We start from the raw sequence: 20,824 nt of genomic DNA, 5'->3' as shown, positions 1-20,824 counted from the left end.
AAAAGAAAAAAGAAAGAGAGAGAGAGGAAGGGAGGGAGGAAGGGAAGGAAGGAAGGGAGAAAGAAAGAAAGACAGAAAGACAGAAAGAAAGAAAGAAAGAAAGAAAGAAAGAAAGAAAGAAAGAAAGAAAGAAAGAAAAGAGAGAGGGAGGGAGGAAGGGAAGGAAGGAAGGGAGAAAGAAAGAAAGGCAGAAAGAAAGAAGGAAAGAAAGAAAGAAAGAAAGAAGAAAGAAGAAGAAGAAGAAAGAAAGAAAGAAATGAAATATGAAGACCCATATAAAGTTCTCCTCACATGGTTGGATTGAATAAATCATAGCTATTCCTGTTGTATGTTTCTTATTATTCATGTGTCTGTCTGTGAAATTAATCTAGATAGTCCAAATCTCAGAATGAATGAGTAAACAATAGTGTTTACTTGCCAACAGGCTTTTGCCCCTGTTATTATGTCATATTGTTTCTCAAGATCTGTATAAGCTTTTTTTATCTCCACAAACTTTATGATCCATCTTGGCTCACTTCACCACAGAAAAGTACAAATTATATACCTGACATTCAAGGTCCTCTATATTCTTAATTTCTAACTTTTACAGCCTTGTTAATTACTGCTCCTTTCTGTATTTCTAGCCAAGCTATCATATTCAGTACTAGGCACTCCTTAGCTTTTTTTCTCTTTCCACCCTTAACACAGAAGGGTTTCCAATAAGAAGGCTTACTCTTCCTCTATATTTATTGCTGATATGGTTTAAATGTTTTATCCTCCTTAAAACTCAGGCTGAAATGTGACCCCTAATGGTGTAGGTGGGCCTACGGGTAGGTGTTTTGTTCATGGGAGCAGATCCCTCATGAATGACTTGGTTCTGTCTTCAAGGTAATGAGTGAGTTCTCACTCATTTCATGCAAGATGTTTGTTTAAAAGAGTGTGGCACTTTTTCTTCACTCTCTCTTGCTCCCTCTCTCACCATGTGACATGCCTGCTCTCCATTCGCCTTCCATTATAGTTATAAGCTTCCTGAGGGCCTCGCAGGAAGCAGAAGCTGGTACTACTTGTACAGTCTTCAGAACACATATTTTATAAGGGTAATTCATTTGATCAGTGGCAAATGTTATACCTATACTCTGTGGTAGTATTTAAAGCTTTTGTATTTTTATTTTTGTGGGTACATAGTAGGTGTATATATTTATGGGGTTTATGAGGTGTTTTGATACAGACATGCAATGTGAAATAAGCACAGCATTGAGAATAGGGAATCCATACCCTCAAGCATTTATCCTTTGAGTTACAAACAATCCAATAACACTCCTTTTTTTTTTTCTGCTCTGTCACCCAGGCTGAAGTGCAGTCAGTGACACAATCTCAGCTCACTGCAACCTCCATCTCCCGAGTTCAAGTGATTCTCCTGCCTCGACCTCCCAAGTAGCTGGGATTACAGGTGCGCACCACCACGTCCAGCTAACCGATAACACTCTTTAAGTTATTTTAAAATGTAAGGAGAAACAGCATATCCAGTCATGCATAAATGGCATTTAAGGTCATATAAATTGTTGCAAAGGTTATATTTCTCCCATTTTTGCTAAATTCCTTCCCATTTTTGCCAAAACTCTCAGAAGTTTAAACAGTCTTTCATCAGTGTTATGAGATACTGAATGGGTTCTATGTGGATTTTGGTAAGTGCCTTGCAGAGATTCGGGGGGAATGTTTAGCTTTAGTGTTGACTTTTTGAAAAACTAATTCAAGGATGTATGTTTTGATGTCTTGTTTGTCTCAAATTGTGTGCCTGTGACAAGCATAGGAATAACTGTTAAAATTGTTGTTTATTGTAATACCTTAAAGCAATTTCACGATTTCTTGCACTGCTCTGCCATCAGCTGAAGCACTGTCACATTTTCCTTTGACATTATGTAAGATATCCCCTTTAAAATGAAAGAACCAATAGTCGATTGCTTGAATGTTTTTATATTTTTATGTTTTTCTCTCTCACCACATTAGAGATTCACATGTCAAAAAAAAAGTTCAAAGATTCCACTTAAATGGTAGTCAAAATAAAAAGCATGTTGTTTAATTTGCCAACTATTCCATAAATCCTGTGCTTGAAGCACTACCTTTTATCAACCACTTGAAAGGAAGGAATATGAAGTGTGACTCTTGAGGATTGCAGTTCCATTTCTCCACAGACATAGCAGGGTGTGTAGTTCCAAATGGGTTTCTTCCAAAGTCATCTCCTCAGAGTAGGACTGTCTGTGTAGTCATTCTGATAATGTTGCCATTAACTACAAGCACATCTGAAAACCCTCGTAAGGAAGTGCCATTAGATTCAGATTAATAAAGTACAAGGAAAACCAGTTTAATTACTTTATAAATGCATAACTTTTTCTTTTCCCAGTGAGAGATCTTTTTAAAAAAATTCTCCTTTTTTTGCTATTCATTCTTCCATAGTCACTCTGTTCAAATGAATATTCTCAGAACTACTACTTCCTTTCTCCTCCCTTCACACCAAATGTCTATGCTATTTATACTGCAGACATAAAAGATAAAGAGTGATGAGGTCAGCTTCATAAATGTCAACCTGATAAGCTGAGGGATTGTTTGTATTCAAATTCTTTAAAATGGTGCTGAAACAACAACCACAACGTTTGAAAAAAATAAGATAAAAAGATTGTCAGAAAGAGGACACACACTTTTCTCATATTTATGATGGATAATACTTTCTGTTTCTAATGCAGATATTGTCAATTACGCTCACAGAAATCTTCTTAAAAGTTTCTAAAAAACAAATTTGTTTACAATATTATATAGCTATATTTAGGAAAAGTGAGCTTAGGCGAACTCCACACAAATTTCCAGGTTTTATAGAATGTTTATCACTCCACAGGGTTTTTTTTTTCACCTACTTATGAGGTTTGTAGGACTTGTATCATGCCTTAAAATATACATTTTTTAGAAATAATGAACTATTTGAGTTTCCTATACTCCTTATCATCAGGATTCTCTACCTTGGAACAGTATTAGGACAACGCATCTATTTACCACTTAAGACCTTGTGGTCTGAAGCTTGACATGCCAAACCCACAACCCACAGGTTTTTTGGAGAATTCCAGGCAAACCATGTTGAAATGGCCTTGATCTCATGTGGCTTAGCTTTAGTCTGTCTTCATCATTGAAGGCTAATTTAGTATAGACCTAATAAATGTAACAACAAAAGCAAGGGAATAACATAAGCATATATGGTGTATTATACTGGACCAATTTTGGCTAACCACTGTTGATCCTGAGGCAAATTGCTTAACCTCTCTGAAGTTCCATTTATTCATTTGTATCGGCAACTTCCACAGGTTTATTAGGAGGGCAAGATGAGATGTTATGTGTGGAAGAGTGGGAAGGGGGCGAGGGATAGAAGACTACAAATGTGGTGCAGTGTATACTGCTCGGGTGATGGCTGCACCAAAATCTCACAAATCACCACTAAAGAACTTACTCATGTAACCAAATACCACCTGTACCCCAATAACTTATGAAAAAAAAAGAAAGTACCTAACAAAGTGACAACCAAGAACACAATAGGCACTCAACACATTTTCAAGGAATGAATGAATTTCCATGCCTTTTCTTTAATAACAGGCTTGTGGTCCTGAAATTTATGCACATATTGCTTCAATTCTTCACACTGTCTTGCCTGTTAGAAAAATTTACCTGTTAGAAAGATTAGACATTTTTACTCTCACTCAGAATTTAAGGTCTTTATATGAAAGATTTTTTTTTTTACATCTAGGAAAAATTCACATATTTACTGTGCATTATTAACAATAACTTACTTATTGAAAAAAATTTAAGGTAAACTATTCAACTTTTATTTACATCTGTAAAAACTTGATCTAGGTTTCTTAAATAAGAAAGTGGCTTGAATTTTAAAGAGGAATCAGGTAAATCTATTTTCTCTTCCTCTCTCACGTTTTTCACACTCTGCCTTCACCATCACACCCCTGTTGACTGTGAATATTACACAAAAGTACTTATTCCTGTTTTTTACAATGTTCAATTAAAGAAATTGGTTGACAATTCTGGCCTTTGGAAAAAGACAAGGAACGTAGGTAAACAAAGGCGTAATTAAAGAGATATCTTAATTTTAGCCAATCATTGATGAACCACTCTCCTTGCTCATGAGGCGGGAGCGGGTCACAGAACTGCCATGGCGGGATAGTTGGTCACGAAACTCTGAAGCCATAAAGTAATAAAGAATTGGATCCAAAAGGCAGCAGAGACTTGCAAGGCACAGGCAAAAAGGGTGGAAATACAGTGCGATTCGGACAACGGGACAACTGCTAATGATGGTTTCCTTTACCATGGTGTAAAAAATAAAGTTAATATGATAGGGAGTGAAGCAGATGAAGAAGACTGCAGCACACATGAACACCATCCGCAGTGCTTTCTGCCTCTCACTGATCCCTTGGAAAGCCATTGGTGGCTGTCTCAAGGATATAGTAGTTTTCCAGGTACACCATGCGATGATGATCACTGGGATCACAAATCCTGCAAGCTCAGCAACTGTAATCATCCCGACCAACGCAACTGCATTCATTTGCTTGTATCCAAGATCAGCAAAGCAGGACTTGTTGTTGTTTAAGTCTGTGCTTCTCAGGATGGGAAATGGCAAACAGGCAGTCCCCACAACGATCCAGATGGCAGCACTGATGCCCACATCGTACCTACGCTTCCAGTCTCTGGCCCTGAAGGGCTTGAGGAGAAAAAAGCACCTTTGAAGACTGATGCACGTCAGGAAACAAATGCTGGCATACATGTTGAGATACTTCAGGTAGAAGCAGAGCAGGCAAAGGGCTCTCTGGAAAGGCCAGTGGTGGCTGATGTAATAGTAAATCCGGAGGGGTAAAGATAATACATGAGCAAGGTCAGCCACAGAGAGGTTGATCATGAAAATGATGGCTTTATTTTTCTTGCTGATGAAGCGGCACAGAACCCACAAGGCTGCACTGTTAGCCAGAAGACCAGGAATGAATATGAGGATATAGGTGGTTGCATAGAGGGAGTATTGAAATTTCACATTAGTGACATTACAGTAAATCTCAGCAGTGCTGGTACTGTTGCTACCCATCTTGAATGTTTCAGTGTATTTGTCAAGGTTAGCCATGGATTTATGGTTCCTGCCCAAAGTAAAACAAAATAAAGAGTAAAATGGTTAATTAGTTCTTTAGTTAACACCTAGATCTCTCTTTTATACTTACAGAGGCACAGACTATTAGAATTAGAAGAGACATGTTTACATATAAAGAATTAGAGGCTCAAGGAAAATATAGTACTGATCCAAAGTCACCCAATGTAACAGTTAAGGAACCATAAAATTGTCCCACAACTGCACCCTCCACCCCAGATTCTCTAAGTTGTATTTTGCAGGCTAAGATGTCTTGAAATGTTAAATCTTTTATTCTGACCACAGCAAAAACAGCATAGAATTCGATTATATTTATTTTGACTCCAAATTTGTCTTGTCCAAAGCCCTGGTTAGAATAAATACTGCTCACTCCTAATTGCAGTAGTAGAAATTTAGCCTCACTTTTTAGGTTCCCATCCCTGTCCTTTGTCTGCCATTTTGCTCTTTGGGTCCTGGCTTCTTATCTTGGAACCCCATCACTTGAAAAATTGTCCTGCCTCCTTAAGCCTGCATTGTCAGTGTCCCGGCTGATCTTCAAGACCTGAGAATGTGGCCTCATTATTCTATCATAATAACTTGTGACTCTAGGTTATCCTGCAGTTTGTCTCTCTCCCTAGGCTTGGGTATCCAAATTTACATAAAAAGCTTTAATAATACATGAATTTAGAAGCTAAAATAGAGTATTTTCCTTCATATAATCTTGGAGGGGAAAAGACCAATTCTACCTCTAAGTAGAATCCTGTATTGGTGTGGCAACATTCACATGGCATATTATCCAACAGTCACAATACTTTGGGCACTAGCAATGCTTGTGGGCACTAGCAATGCTTTGGGCACTAGCAAAACAGGGCCACTGAAACCATTTTTGAAGACAGTTTAAAATGTAATGCTTTCTTTATTCATTAAAGTAATCATTATGAAGAGATTCCTTCTTTTTTGGACTTCCTTAATCATATTTTATGATTTAGTATGGTTTTTATTATGTGTTATATTAAGGTATAGAGAGAGTAGAGTAATCTTTAGAGATTATCAGAGGCTAGGCATGGAATTATGCTGATTGCCTGCAGATAAGAATGGTAGGAGAGCAACAGATTCCTCATTTTGCTTTAACTATCTTGTAGAATTTCAGACTGGGAAGGACCTTTGGAAATCATCAAATTCACTCTCCACATAATATAGATAGAAGCAAGGCCCAGAGAGAGGAGTTTATTATGGCCACACAGCTATTAATGGAAGATCTGAGACTCGAAATGGGAGGACAAGGGACCTTGCTTCCATGCACACCCTTCTCCTCATCTTTGTTTTTCTCCCCATGACAAAGTTCACAAGCATACCTTCTGTGCATATTGCAGGAATGTTTACTGTATTTCGAGCTAGAAGTGGAAAAAAAACAATGTACTGAGGTTGTTTCTCAGATGGGGAAGGGTTTCTGTTGTTTATTGTTTTTTTTTTTGTTTTGTTTAAAGTAAGTTTACAAAAAGCAAAGAAGTAACCTGGTTTTAGATTCTCCTCATGAGTAGCAGAATGGCTTCCTGTCATATTAAGTCCTGCTCCAGGAAATAGAGCTGTGCTAACAAAAACAGAGCCTCAAGTGATGAATTCACAGATAAAAGAGTGTGGCTGTTATGAGCTGCTGTTACTGTAAATAAAACTTTTGCTTTCCCCCATTCTATTCCATCTCCCTATTTGCCCTCTTATTTGTGATACATCTTAAACAGTCATGCAGTCATCTTGCTTATGTATGTGTTACTTAGAATGGAGGGTGGAAGGGACTCTCACAAATGGAAAGGCAGGAAATAATTATCATGTGGTGACGATCAAGGATGTATCCCAAAATCTGTAATGGAAGTTTTCAGGTGTATTTATTTAATTTAATTTTCACAACTGTCCTAAGATGTAAGAACTATTATCACCCTATGATCTAGATGAAAAAACTGAGCTTCAGAGGCATTCAGTAAATTGCCTTAAGTAGCAAAGCTAGAAAATGGTAAAGATAGGATTTACTATCATTCCTGGCTTGCTCTGAAGCGTGTGGTATTTCCACTATGCCACTTTCCTCTCCCTGACTAGGAGAGACTACTTAGTAGAATTTGGCTGTCTTAACTATCACTCCACATGCCTTTGCATGCTCATAGCTTAGCTCCCACTTATAAGTGAGAATACCTGGTTTTTGGTTTTCTACTCCTGTGTTACTTCACTTAGAATAATGGCCTCCAGCTCCATCCACGTTGCTACAAAAGACATTATTTCGATTTCACTGTGACATGTGAAGAGCACATTGTGGCAGAACCATTCTAATCCCATAGTAGGAACTTATATAACACTAGAATTCGTCTAGTTGGACAATCAGAATAGAAGTAAACACCTGTCCCTACTTATGCCACACTGTTCCCACCCTACCACCTACTTTGATTTTAGTGTTGGCACTGCTTCTACTATCAACTATTGTCCACACACAGGCAGTGAGAGAGCAAAGAAAGATCCATCAGTGCATTACAATTTCAATAACTAAGAATTGTTCATAACCTTACTCTCCTGCAGTCACACTTCCACTTTTGCACTTAAAAGAAATGGCTATTTGTTTTAGCTTCACTGGTGCAGAAAGTTTCACTTACAAAATGGGCATGTTCTGTTCACACCTCCCTGTTAAATAACAGAGCCCAATTATGCCAGAACAGCAAGCTAGAGGTCAAGTTTACACCTTTTTTATTTTTTAAATGTGGGTTCTTATGCTTCTGCAATTCACAGTTCATTGTGAGCGTAGAGATTTGCATGGCTTGTTTCCAAAAACCTCTTTTTTGCTTCAGACTGAAGGGAAGGTAAGAAGGGCTTTTTTTCCCCCAAATCTTCTTAGTGACCATTAGATGTAAAATCCCCGTGATGAGGAGAGGCAGAAGGTATTTATTTGGGGTTGAGCAGAAACATAGACTCTCTTAGAGGGAACACTTAGCTTGCTATGGACAATTGTGTCATTTCTGAAATATAAGAAAGGAGAAGCTAAGAAGCCACTAACAAGAAAATCCTGGATGGAAGGACTAAAATCAGAGTATATTCCTTCTCTCTGTTCCCTCACCCCATCCCTCTCTCTCTCTCTCTCTCTCTCTCTCTCTCTGTGTGTGTGTGTGTGTGTGTGTGTGTGTGTCTTTCTCTTCCTCTATCTATGAGTCTGGCTCTATTGTTGCCTACTTGTGGGCAGTTTGCTCCCTTTGTGTTGCCAATTTCTCTCCCCTCCAATCTGGACATATTCTTGGTTCCTGTCTCATAGGGATGTGGGATTGGTGATTCATTCCTGAATCTGTGCTTCCCTTTTCAGTCAGTGACCTGACTCCCCTCCCAGACACTCAAGCTAGAAATTAGGGAGTAATTCTGACCTTTGCCACTATATTTCCTCCCATAGACAATAAAAACCCAGAAAACCCAGGTAATTCTTCCTTCCATGTAAAATCCTCTCTAACCTATCTCCACCTCTACTGTCACCATCCTAATCCAGGCTGCTGTCATCAACCCTATTGGCTATTGCAACAGCTCCCTTACTAAACTGTTTACATTCCAGTCCTTCCCCTAAAGTTCATTCTCCATACCATGTCTAACATTAACATTAAGTATGGCTACCACTTATTTAGGGCTGCCTTTTATTTACAGGCTAAACACTTTATTCATTATGTCATCCATCCTCACAGGAGTCCTGTGATTATTTCCACATTGCAGATGAGAAAATTGAGGCTCAAAGAGGTTAAATAAGTGGTGCTGAGGTCACAAAATTCACATCTCTGGTTCCTTTTAATCTCAATCTGTGGGTCTAAGAGACCTTAACCACTCACTCGATCTAGGTAATCCTATACATCATTACACACTCTCACACTCTCTGTTCTTTCTCTTTTTAGCATCAACATTTGTAATTTAGGGTTTTTTTTTTTAATTTGTTTGTTGGTTATTACCCTCACTGTGCTCTTAAGTCCATCAGTGCCACAAAAAGATCTCCTTTTTTCATCACCATATAGCCAGGACCTAGCCTAGTAAGCATTCAAAGAACATATAAAAAGTATAATTGAACTGAACTGCTTAAACAATAGTTCAAAGTTTCTGTTTAGAAGTATTAAGCATAAATTAAAAACCTTGATATATCAACTAGTACATTTCTGATGCCGACTATTTCCCTAAAATGTTGTCTTCTGACTTGGGCTTCTCCTATCAATATTCCCTGCACCTATCCTTTTCACCTCAGAAAAGCAATACCTGTAGAGACCTGAGAAAAGAGAAAAGAAATCAATTTAGAAATCACAGGTGGTCAGACATATCCTATGGGTAGAAACTAGCACAGTCCAAGGTCTCAGGGTACCATCAATACTATTATCTGGACCTCAAGAAAAGGACAGCTTCATGATTTGCTTTCAAAGTTATCTCAACCTTTTATTTTTCTTGGTTGTCATTCTGTGAAGGAAATCAGAAAATGACTTGTTATCCACCTACACATGGGAGTGAGGAGGCTGCGTCTGTAATCACTAAAGCTCTCTGCATTTGAAAAGAAAACATAAAGGGAAATAACTCTATTTCCTTTTCCATGGCTTTTTGAGGACTTTGGCTGCTTTAAAGCCCACACTCAATCAGTATATATTCAATAAGCCCCATCCTATGAGCTATTTGCTAGGTTCTATGGAGAATATAGAATCATCCACAACGATCTGTGTCCCTGAGAAACTTCCTATCTTTTAAAGGTGAAGGAAATAAAAATATTTTACCCTAAAATATATTTCTTTAAAATATTTTGAGATCATTGCCTCAGGGCTCACAGACTGAGGTGGGGAAAATTTGCATTTGCAAAGAATCTCCATGAATGTAGCCATGCCTCCCCATTCTATGCTTTTCTCAGATCCAGGAGAGATTGAGCCTGACATCTTTAAAAGTTGGAAAAGAAACATTTACCATCTGTTCTCTCTGACATAGGTTTCATCTATAACAAGGCCAACTCTGTTACCAAGCCTCTTACTTCCTTTCTCCAATAACTTGTCTTGCCACCAAAAACTGTTTTTGAACATACTCTGAGTTCACATTTATTCTGTAATTTCAAGATGGTATATAAGCTTTTCTTACCTATTGGGAAATTGAGTCTTCATTCTGAAGGCTCATGTGTATATACTTTAAATAAATTGTAATTCCTTATCTCATGTTAATCAATCTGCCTCATGCCAGTGATTTTGTAGCAACCTTGAGAGGGCCAAGAGCCTATGGTCCCCATAGGGGTAACATTTAAAAATCTCTAACATCACAATCAGTGAATAGCAACAATTGAAGTGAATGGCACAGGTGATGAGAATCCCTCAGTGTTGGCACAGCATCATTCCTGTGAATTAATTAGGAGAGATACCAGTACTATTTTAGCTGCTAAAGATAACATATAGGATTTAAATAGAACAATGGATACTTTAGGAAATGTGAGGTAAACTTTAACTTTATCTCTTACCTCATCACCATCTTTATTTTTCTCTCCACCCCGTCCCCGTTTTCTGCCGCTGATGGAGAGAAAAATAAAGAGGGTGGCTGGGGAAGAGATAAACTTAAAGTTAACCTCACTTTGTCTGAATTATCGATTGTTCTCTTTAAATCCTAGTGACCTTTCAAAGGTGAGGTCAAGTTGATCTCTTCAAAAATTCTCCATAAGCATGACCGTTTTTACTGGTTATTATTAGTATAATTCATCTGAATCTTAACAGTTTGTGATTTCATCCAAGTAGACATTCTGCTATGTGGGTGTCCTATATGCTAATTGCAAAGGATGATGGAGTGGAATGGGAAATTCCAGAGAAAAATAATCCATGGTTGTTGCCTTCAATAAGTTTACAGTCACATGTGATAGCCATAAGTAACTAACCATAACGGATTTCAGAAACATTTCATGAAAGAGGTAACAAAGACATTTCTGTGGAAGCAGAAATAAAGCCTGCATAGAATGGAAAGATTGGAAGTCAATTTTTTAATAAGCAGTTTTGGGAATGGGCAGGATTTTGGAGAAGAAAAGATCGGAAAGGTTTCCAGGGATGGATAAATAACATCCAAGGTTTCCAAAGTATAAAAATGAATGATATATCTAAAGGAAAAATAATAATTCTATCCCACCTGGTGAATAGGATAACATGGTGGGGAGGGTGAAATGGGAGGTATGATTGAAGGAAGGTAGTGAAAGGGAAAAGAGACTATAAAGGTAGAAGTTACCGGGTCATGAAAGATTTTTAATGAAATATTTTTAATGCACTTCATGATGAATCATCAAAGGATTCTGTGAAGAGATGCGATATCATCATACTTGTGTTTTAGAAAGATCAGGCTGCTGGCCAGGTGTGGTGGCTCACACCTGTAAACCCAGCACATTGGGATGCCCAGGTGGGTGGATCGCTTGAGCTCAAGAGTTTAAGACCAGCCTCGGTAACATGGTGAAACCTCATCTCTACAAAAAAATATAAAACAAAAAAATTAGCTGGGTGCGGTGGCACGCCTATGTGGTCCCAGCCACTCAGGAGGCTGAGGTGGGAGGATCGCTTGAGCCGGGGAGACAGATGTTGCAGTGAGTTGAGATTGCACCACTACACTCCAGCCTGGGTGATAGAGCAAGACCCCATCTCAAAAATAAATAATACTTTAAAAATGAATACATAAAAAATAGAAAGGTCACGCTGGCAACCATGTGGAAGATGAATTGAAGAAATGGGACACAGGGAATCCAAATCACTTTGGGAGTATGTAGGAAGACCAACAGTTGAGGTTTGCCTGTGACTGAGGGTTTTTTGGGACATAGTATTTTCAGTGCTAAACCTGTGACAGTCCAAAGCAAAGGGAATAGTTGGTCACCCTATTAGATTAGAATTTAAAGTAAAAGTCAGATATGGAATTGAGCAATTTTGAAGACTGCTTGAGGAGTCAAAGATGATTTCATTTATAAAACATGAAATGATATAAAAAAGGTATCGCAGTTTTGCACTTTTCCAAAGCAACTTCATATGCAGCAACTAACAGCATTCACTTCTGCTGATAATCTGAATCCATTAACCTATTTCTTATTCCAGTATTTTTCAATTTTGTACTATCTGCCAACCCTCATCAATTCCTAACTCTTCAAATGGTTTTCTTTCTCTAACATAATGACTGAGCTTCACTACAAATTGCACTATACTAACTTGCACCATACATTTCCAGAAACCTTCAATATCTAAATGCTTCCATTTCTCCTAGTCTCACATAGCATCCTCCCTCATCTTATTTCCTCCTGTGTCTAACCCAGATTAAATAGTTGGCCAAATTATCCACTCTTACACAAGAATACACAACTTCTTTGTTCTCCATTCTCCTGCTACACCAGCCTGGCAAGGCCCTAATCGCAGGTTAAGTCCACAACAGGTTTTCTTTCTTACTATCCAAATGGCTCAATTATCCTGTTGAAATACTAGTGTGTATTTGAAATGGCACAAATGGAAATTAATGATCTCCAGTCTAAAATTATTTTCCTCTACCCTCTTTTTGCATGAACCTGATTAGTATCTTCTCCTATTCCCATGGTGGCTAATCAGCCCCTTTTCTATTCTGCTAAAGCTTCTTCCTCTCTCTCCTGCTCCCCATCCACCACTTTTCTCGGAAGACTATTTGTTTTAGCCCTCAGCTCAAAGAGTAAATTGAGATTATTAGGTGAGAAGAAATCAACTTCATCTATTGTCCTTTTCTAACACGCATAATTTTATTTATAGCAGCACTCTTCTTACTTCCCAACACAGCTGTCCTTCCTGCTGCTCAAGATGAATTATCACACTCTTCTAACCTCCCTCAGGATTCTCTTTCATTGATTGTTCCCTTTCACTCCTAGAAAATCATGGTTTTCTACACTCTCAGCTAGAGCTTTTTCATCAAGTCTCTCCAACTCCCAAAGTAATTTTCTTGTCTACGCACCTTATTCTAGCTCTTTGTTGCCTTCCTGCCCTTCTCTCCATAGTTGTTTACACCAGTTTTTTTCTTTTCCTCACTTTATATCCATTCTTTAATGCACTTCAAGGTGGCATACATGTCCCCACAACCTCACTTCAGTCAGTACTTCTGTGGCTTTGAATTACCCAGAAAGAGGTGAGAATAGAATTCCCAGTGCCTCCAATGCCAGCCTTACAGAAGTAATTACTCTTGGTACCTCTAGTTTGAAGTGCTCTGTCCAGGGTACATGCTTCCTATTCCAAAGGTCAGGACCATTAAAAGAGATGCCTTTTCACTTGAAAGAAGGGTATGTTGGTGAGTGCCAAATCCTGAAGGGAATGACCAGCATAGAGTTTTAACCTAATAAGAAAAGCAGAAAAATCAGCCACCATCTCTGAAATAACAGGATTCACTTACAAAGTGTGTCTCTAAATACTATACAGCCATAAAAAGAATGAGATCATTTCCTTTGCAGGGACATGGATGGAGTTGGAAGCCATTATCCTTAGCAATCTAATGCAGGAATGGAAAACCAAACACCACATGTTCTCACTTATAAGTGGGAGCTGAATGATGGGAACACATGGACACATGGTGAGAAACAAGAAACATTGGAGTCTGTTGGGAGCTGTTGGGTGAGAGAGAGCATCAGGAAGAATAGCTAATGGATGCTGGGCTTAATAACTAGGTGATGGGATGATCTTTGCAGCAAACGACCATGACACACATTTACCTATGTCACAACCCTGCACATCCTGCACATGTACCCCTAAACTTAAAATAAAAGTTGAAGAAAATATGGGCAAAAAAACAAAAATCAAAGTATGGCTCTAAAGATGTTCCTGATAATAAAAATGGCACGCACAAAGTTATGACTAAAACTCCATCATATTCCTTTTTTACCTGGAGCCCAACTCAGAGGTCAATATTTTACTTCTGTCTCAATATCGCATCTCAACTCCCATTTTTTCCTTACATCGGGCAACCCTACTCTCACTCCCCTCTTCTTCGAACACCTACTGAATTTATAGGCTGCACTGTGAGAAGGTAAGACTACAGAGCATAGGCACATATTAGCAGAGCATTAGGCATTTTTACTTGTAAAGTCTCTCCCATGAAACACTCTCCTAAACAACAGCCATAATCTTTCTCCTTTCTGCTACTGAAGAAAATGTGGTCAAAGCAAGAATAATAAGGTTTTAGTCTAAGAAATCTGAACACCTAAGAGCTTTAAAGAAGGCAATCCAGCTTTCGTTTTGAAATCCAACAGGAATCCCTTAAACTTAATTAGGAATTTGATCACTGAAAACTTTATTTTGTGGAAACAACTAAATGTTTTCTCAGAATACAAAGGTATGGAAGGTCTTTAAATATGATTCATTGGAGCTGAGCCCAAAATCTTACTAGATACTAATACCATCTACCCAAAAGCAGCTGCTCTTCCCAACCAACTAGCTCAACGTTGTGGTTTTCACAAAGTTACAGCCAAACTGAGCTTATATTATTATGGCATCAGAATTTATATTAGTTTCCTAAGTCCCAGTGAGGAAATTTCCACATCCTGTCAGTAACTAGCTAAGTGCTATTCACGTTACCTCTAATCTTTGTAAGAATTCTGAGTTAATTACTATTATACTCCTTTACAGATTAGAAAATGGAGTCTCAGCAGGAGTAAGTGACTTTCTGCAGTCAGAGTTATGATTTCAGCTTTAATAAGGCTTTTCATAAGCCCAGAAAGCTAAAGTTATTTTTAGCTGAATAACTTATTATATGGACAGAAACATATTTTAAAGTGGTATTTCTGTGGATAAGACTGTTCCTCAGAGATAAAAAAGCTATTGTTTTCGGTTCTAGTTCTAGCAGTTTTATGCATATGCACTATGCATATATGGCAAATTGCTGCCCACCAGGTGTCAGGATAGGATTATATCAAAACCAACGTTCTTTATGGAATTGTGCTTATGAATTCAAATTATAACAAATCTGTAGATAGAAGTAATGGAACAATTTCTTTACAACAGGAGTGATCTGAATAGGACAAGACTTGCTGTAGGATACAGAAGACTCAAAAGCAGTATAATATATAGAAAGGTGTACTGGATTTGTAGCTAAGATACTTGGATTTCAGTAATTTTATATACTCTTTGTGCTGCTCTGATACGCTCTTTCCCTTCTGTGAGTTTCATTTCCTCATTATTAAAATAATATGATTTGAACTAGATGACCTTTAACTCCCTTCTAGCTCTCATTTGGTATGATTTCATGAGAATTCCCCCTCTGAACCCTGCTCCTAACTAATATCATCACCATTGACACTGCCACCATTTATGCAGCTGGTACCAACTCCATAAATCTTCACTCTCAATCTTCCCTGTCTTTTCACCACTCATCAGTAAGTCACTGGCACCACTAAGTAAACATGTTTATCAAATTTACTTCTCCATTTTATTTGATGCTGAAGCCTGTCTGTGGGCTTGTCATCCTGGGAGGGGAAGAAAAAATTAAACAGAGAAAACAAGTTGCTGATGGGGGCCCCTCCCACTCTCTAGAGGATAACTTTTACATGTCATCTGGGAACTTAACTTGCTTTGCCTCATCTTACCTTTTTCTTTTATTTTTTAACCACTAAATTTCACATGAATTATCCAAGCCAATCTGATCTCCATGACCCCGGTGTTCTTCATTCAGCCGCTTACAACCAGAACCAAAGAGTAGCAGCTAGAATTGGAAACTCTGCTGTTTCCTGAATAAATCTACATCAACTCCAAATAAGCCTGGTTGACATGAGATACACACAAATTTGGACACATTCTGCAAGTACAGACATTTTCTTCTGTTAGAGGAAGTGAAAATTATTTTTATCCTTAAAATGAATTAAAGCAATTAGACCATTAACAAAACAACAACTTAAAGTTTGAATTTGAACTTTCATGCAGGAATATGTATTGGACTTTCAATCATTTAGGAAGGCGGCCTAATTAGATATCATTTTTGCAGCTGTGGCAGCATTTTATGGGTGGAAATAATCATGTTCTTTGGAAGACCTGGTATCATATCATGTCTCAATTGTCGGTTCTCTGGCCTGAAACAATTCACTTCATATCACCAGGCTTCAGTTTCCTCTTTTGTAAAATTAGAATGGTTCCTGCCACATAATTTGTTTTGAGCATTAAAGAAAAATGTGTCTGAAAATAATAATCCGAGTAAACAGACAACCCACAGAATGAGAGAAAATATTTGCAGACTATGCATCTGACAAAGGACTAGAAACTAGAATCTACAAGGAACTCAAACAAGTCAGCAATAGAAAGAGAAATAATCCCATTATAGAGTGGGCAAAGGACATAAATAGAGATTCCTCAAAAGAAGATATACAAATGGCCAACAAACACGAAAAAATGCTCCACATCACTAATCGTCAGAGAAATGCAAATTAAAACCAGAATAAAATAGCACGTTACTGCAAGAATGGCTATTATTAAAAAGTGAAAAAAAAATAGATGCTGGTAGATATGTGGATAAAAGAGAAAGCTTCTACACTGCTGGTAGAAATGTAAATTAGTACAACTTCTATAGAAAACAGTATGGAGATTCCTTAAAGAGCTACAAGTAAATCTACCATTTGATACAGCAATCCTACTAATCACAATTGCAAAGATGTGGAATGAATCTATGTGCCAATTGACTAACGAGTGGATAAAGTAAATGTGGTGTATATACACTATGTAATACTCCTCAGCCATAAAAAGGATCGCAATAATGTATTTTTGCAGTAACTTGGATGGAGGTGGAGTCCACTATTCTAAGTAAAGTAACACAGGAGTGAAAAATAAAAAAAATAGATGTTCTCACTTATAAGTGACAGATAAGCTATGATTATGCAAAGGTATACAGAGTGATATAATGGAATCTAGAGACTCAGAAGAGGGTGGGTGAGACAGGCTAGGCATAAAAATATTACACATTAGGTACAACGTGCACTACTGAGGTGGTGGGTGCACTAAAAATCTCAGAATTTACTGCTATATAATTTACCCATGCAACAGAAAAAAACACTTGTAGTTCAAAAAATATTGAAATAGAAATGAAAAAAAGAAAATGTGTGTAAAAGTACCTATTTTCATGTCTGATACCCAATAAGTATTAAATAAATGTGAGTTCATTTCCTCTTTATTTGTACACAGAGTCATCTCCAAGGGCCTTTGGTTGGATCCTGTACATTTCTGGATTTAGAAAATCCCCTAAGAAGTGTAGTTGTAGCAGAGGACTAGAATATCTAGAGCAGTAATTTTTAAAGTTAAAGGGTAGAAAATAAGTGTTACTTGATAAAACATATTCCTTATTATAACAAATATATTTGGAAAACAAAATAAAAAATGTCATTATTGTTTCTACAATACAAACTGTGAAAGTACAGATCTACAAAATCCTCTTAACTGTTGGGCACTTAGTACTTGGAAAATGTCAATGTGATGGAGCAGATTTTTCTACAAGTCCAGGGTCTGGTCCCTAGGAAGGCAAGTTCACAGTAACCTTGTAGTGAAATGTTTACGTTTCTCAAAGGGAACCTTGGGTTTAAAAGATTGAGAAATGCCAACTGAGTGTCATTGTCACTGTGGAAATTAGATTTCAGAAAGTTTTATCTTTTGTCTTGCATTTTCTCATTTTTAAAAAAGGGAAATTACTTACAAAGCATTTGCCTGTGGTCTAAAAGTTGAAGCTGTCATGATAACATTACCTGAAAGAAATATAATGGCAATTGGGAAAGGATACTCAGTTCTCTTGGAGATCTGAACTACATTTCCAGAATGTCCTCTCTAGATAGATTTCCCTATTATGGCCCCATTATTCACCACTCCATAACATTTAACTATTCTTAGGTATCTAACAGTCTAACTCAAATCATTGGATTGCTAGGAAGGAAATTAGGAACCATCTATTCCAAGCCCTCTCCCATTATAATAGATGAGATTATTGAGATGCACAGAAATGAAATAACTCACCGAAGGCCACACCAGTCATTGGCAGAACTTGAACTATAACACAGACTTCTGACTCCTTATGTATTGATCTATCTATTTGATCACTCTACCTGTGATGTATATGAACTGATACTAGGAGAAAACTTCTCCACAAAATATACTGATCTGAAGAATAAATAAACCTTTTTGCCAAAAGCTTTTAAAATAAATCATAGACCACCGGGGAACCATTGCCCTGATTGTTAGTGCTTTTAGAAAGTCTCATTTTACTATAAACAGCTTTGTTCTCTTTGCTTGAGCCATGACAGAGAGCTATAGTATAGATAGGCAGCCTATCTTTTTTTTATTTTTTTTTTGAGCCAGAGTCTTGGTCTGTCTCCCAGGCTGGAGTGCAATGGCACAGTCTCAGCTCACTGCAACCTCCATCTCTCGGTTTCGAGCGATTCTCCAGCCTCAGCTTGCCCAGTAGCTGGGATTACAGGCGCCTGCCACTGCAACCAGCTAATTTCTGTATTTTTTAGTAGAAACGGGGTTTCGCCATGTTGACCAGGCTGGTCTCGAACTCCTGACCTCAGGTGATCCACCTGTCTCGGCCTCCCAAAATGCTGGAATTACAGCGTGAGCCACCAAGCCCAGCAGGCTGGCCTGTCTTTTAAAACCCCAACTCACTTATTTCAAACCAAAACAACCCATAAATGTGTTTATTCATTTGATGTCTTCAGATTTGAGTAGTCTGTACAACTTGAACTCTACAACTTTCCCAGTTGAGCCCCAAAATAAACTGCATTTGGCCAAAGAATCTGTGTTCAACAGGAACCATTGCAAAAACAATTGCCCCAAATGTGTGATCTGATTCTGACTGTAGTTTACACCATTTTCCACCTCAGTATATCTGCATATCACCTACTTTCATAAGTGGTTAATTTTACTGTGCTGCAATTGCTAAGAGATAGATTCTCCAATTAATATACATCATAATGACTCCACACATCCATTTGAACAACTGAAATAAAAATATTCTCACTTGCAGGATTCTTGGAACTGAGCCTACTCCCCTGGAAAGCACAGCCAAATCTGGTATCATTCTATCCAGCCTTATCCTGGTTCCAAATGATTTGGCACAGTCTCCCTTCAGGGACTCCTTAGCTGAAAGTCTCCTTTTGATTTAGTCATCTTAGCTCAGAAGGAGAGAGGTGCTAGTATTCAGAGTAATAGCAATAATAACTGAAAAAATGAGTGCCTCACTCATGGGCTTTGCTATCCAGTAAGGCTGAACTTCGGTCAAAATTAGCTTTCAAAGGATCAAGGAACCACTCTGACCAGACTCTGAAGTCATCTGGGATACTTTCTCCTTTCCTATCCTAAAAAATGGCAGGGTCACAAATAAATTTACAGTATTCTCTGGGAGATGCAAACTGCTGTAGGAAAAGGCAAACATGAGTTTAAAGACACAGGTCCTAGATCCACCTATACCACTAACAAGCTGAGTGAACCTAAGTGTCTTCACTTCACTGGCTCTCAGTTTTCCTGACTGTATTGTGAGGGATTTGGATCTCTATGGGCCCTTTCAGCCCCCAGAATCTATTACCCTGCTTTCTACTATTTGTCTCAGTATCTCTGAAAGCTAAATTTTCCAAAGCAAGGATTTTATACCCAAAAATCTTCCTTCACGATGCAGCTAGATAAATTATACACCATAAAAAATTAAATTGACTTTTATTGGCCGAATATGTCAAGTTGTCCCAATGAGTCTCACTGAATATACTCTTCTTACCACTTTGTGCCATCTTCTCTGGTCCCACTCTCTAAAGAGCCCTCATCAAAGAGTGAGCTGCATCACAGACTCCATGCTCCTGGCATAATGAAGAGGACTGATGGCATTAACGTTAACTTTGGACTCTGGTCAAACTCAACAGTAATTATCTTTGCTCCTGTTGTAAGATGTCTGAGATGAGAAACCAGTGACAATTTTAATACAGACACTGGCCCCACATCCACCTCTGTTCTGATTTTTATGATCACACCAATCTTCCCACATGAAACCACCAATCCCCAGGTGCTAGGCATTAACTTACCCTGGAGCTTAGCTGGGATAAGCACTCTTGTTTCTTTGCAGGGAGTAAAGGGTAGAAAGCTTTACTCTGGCGGCATGGATCCTGCTGATAACTGACACATTTGTTGTTGAAAGAGGAAGTTGAGTTTATCTGGTGTCTCACCACAGAAACCTTATTTGCACAAATGAAAGGTAAGTCCCTTGAGCAAATGACGTTACTCAAATTTTATTTCTTTTTATTTCATTGGTGCAGAGAAATTCAAATAGCAGGGAGTCAGAGGCTATGCATACTCACACAATGGCTATATAACAGCCTTCCTCACCCTATCTCCTTCCTTGACAACCGACATATCTAGATTTTCACTGATTCCAGTAGGTTCCATGGTAAGATGAAATTTTCAGGAAAATCTAAAGAGTGTTTACCTAGTAACAAGAAAGCTACAGCTTGTGCAAGCCTGAGGGGCAAAGGCTGAGGAAACCTAAAAAATACAAGTCAAAATTAGAAACAGTAGAAGTACCTTTGCTTAAGTTGTTCCCTCCATCTGGAGTGCCCCTCTCCCAACCCCTTCATCTTGAGGCTCACAATTTAACACATAGTTTCATTATTTTTGTATATTTATTATCCCTTTACTAGACTGCACACTGCTTGAGGGTAAAGATCATGTCTGATTCATATCTGTA

General features: G+C 38.1%; 1 protein-coding gene across 6 annotated transcripts; it reads right to left on the bottom strand.

The window, feature by feature from the left end:
• On the bottom strand, positions 1,934–20,270 carry P2RY10 (P2Y receptor family member 10). Of its 6 annotated transcripts, none has more exons than NM_001324225.2 (4): positions 20,166–20,270; positions 19,865–19,943; positions 17,798–17,846; positions 1,934–5,153 (listed from the first exon to the last, which is right to left on the bottom strand). In NM_001324225.2, exons 2-4 carry the CDS (start codon positions 19,875–19,877, stop codon positions 4,121–4,123), a joined length of 1,095 nt encoding a protein of 364 aa, NP_001311154.1. In that variant the 5' UTR covers positions 19,878–19,943; positions 20,166–20,270; the 3' UTR covers positions 1,934–4,120. The 6 variants fall into 6 exon arrangements, with proteins under 6 accessions (NP_001311154.1, NP_055314.1, NP_001311150.1 ...); NM_014499.4 differs by lacking the exon at positions 19,865–19,943 and adding an exon at positions 13,326–13,468; NM_001324221.2 differs by lacking the exon at positions 19,865–19,943.

The sequence above is a fragment of the Homo sapiens genome, chromosome X (assembly GCF_000001405.40).
Source record: "Homo sapiens chromosome X, GRCh38.p14 Primary Assembly".
Lineage (NCBI taxonomy): Eukaryota > Metazoa > Chordata > Mammalia > Primates > Hominidae > Homo > Homo sapiens.
This window is presented reverse-complemented; position numbering and strand designations above follow the sequence as displayed.

What these genes read in the sequence shown, in the direction of transcription:
- P2RY10 (NM_001324225.2), bottom strand. An exon ending in AGACCACAGGCAAATGCTTT is followed by an intron (nt 5,154 to 17,797) that starts GTAAGTAATTTC and finishes TACTTTGGGCAG; the next exon opens with GAACCATAAATCCATGGCTA.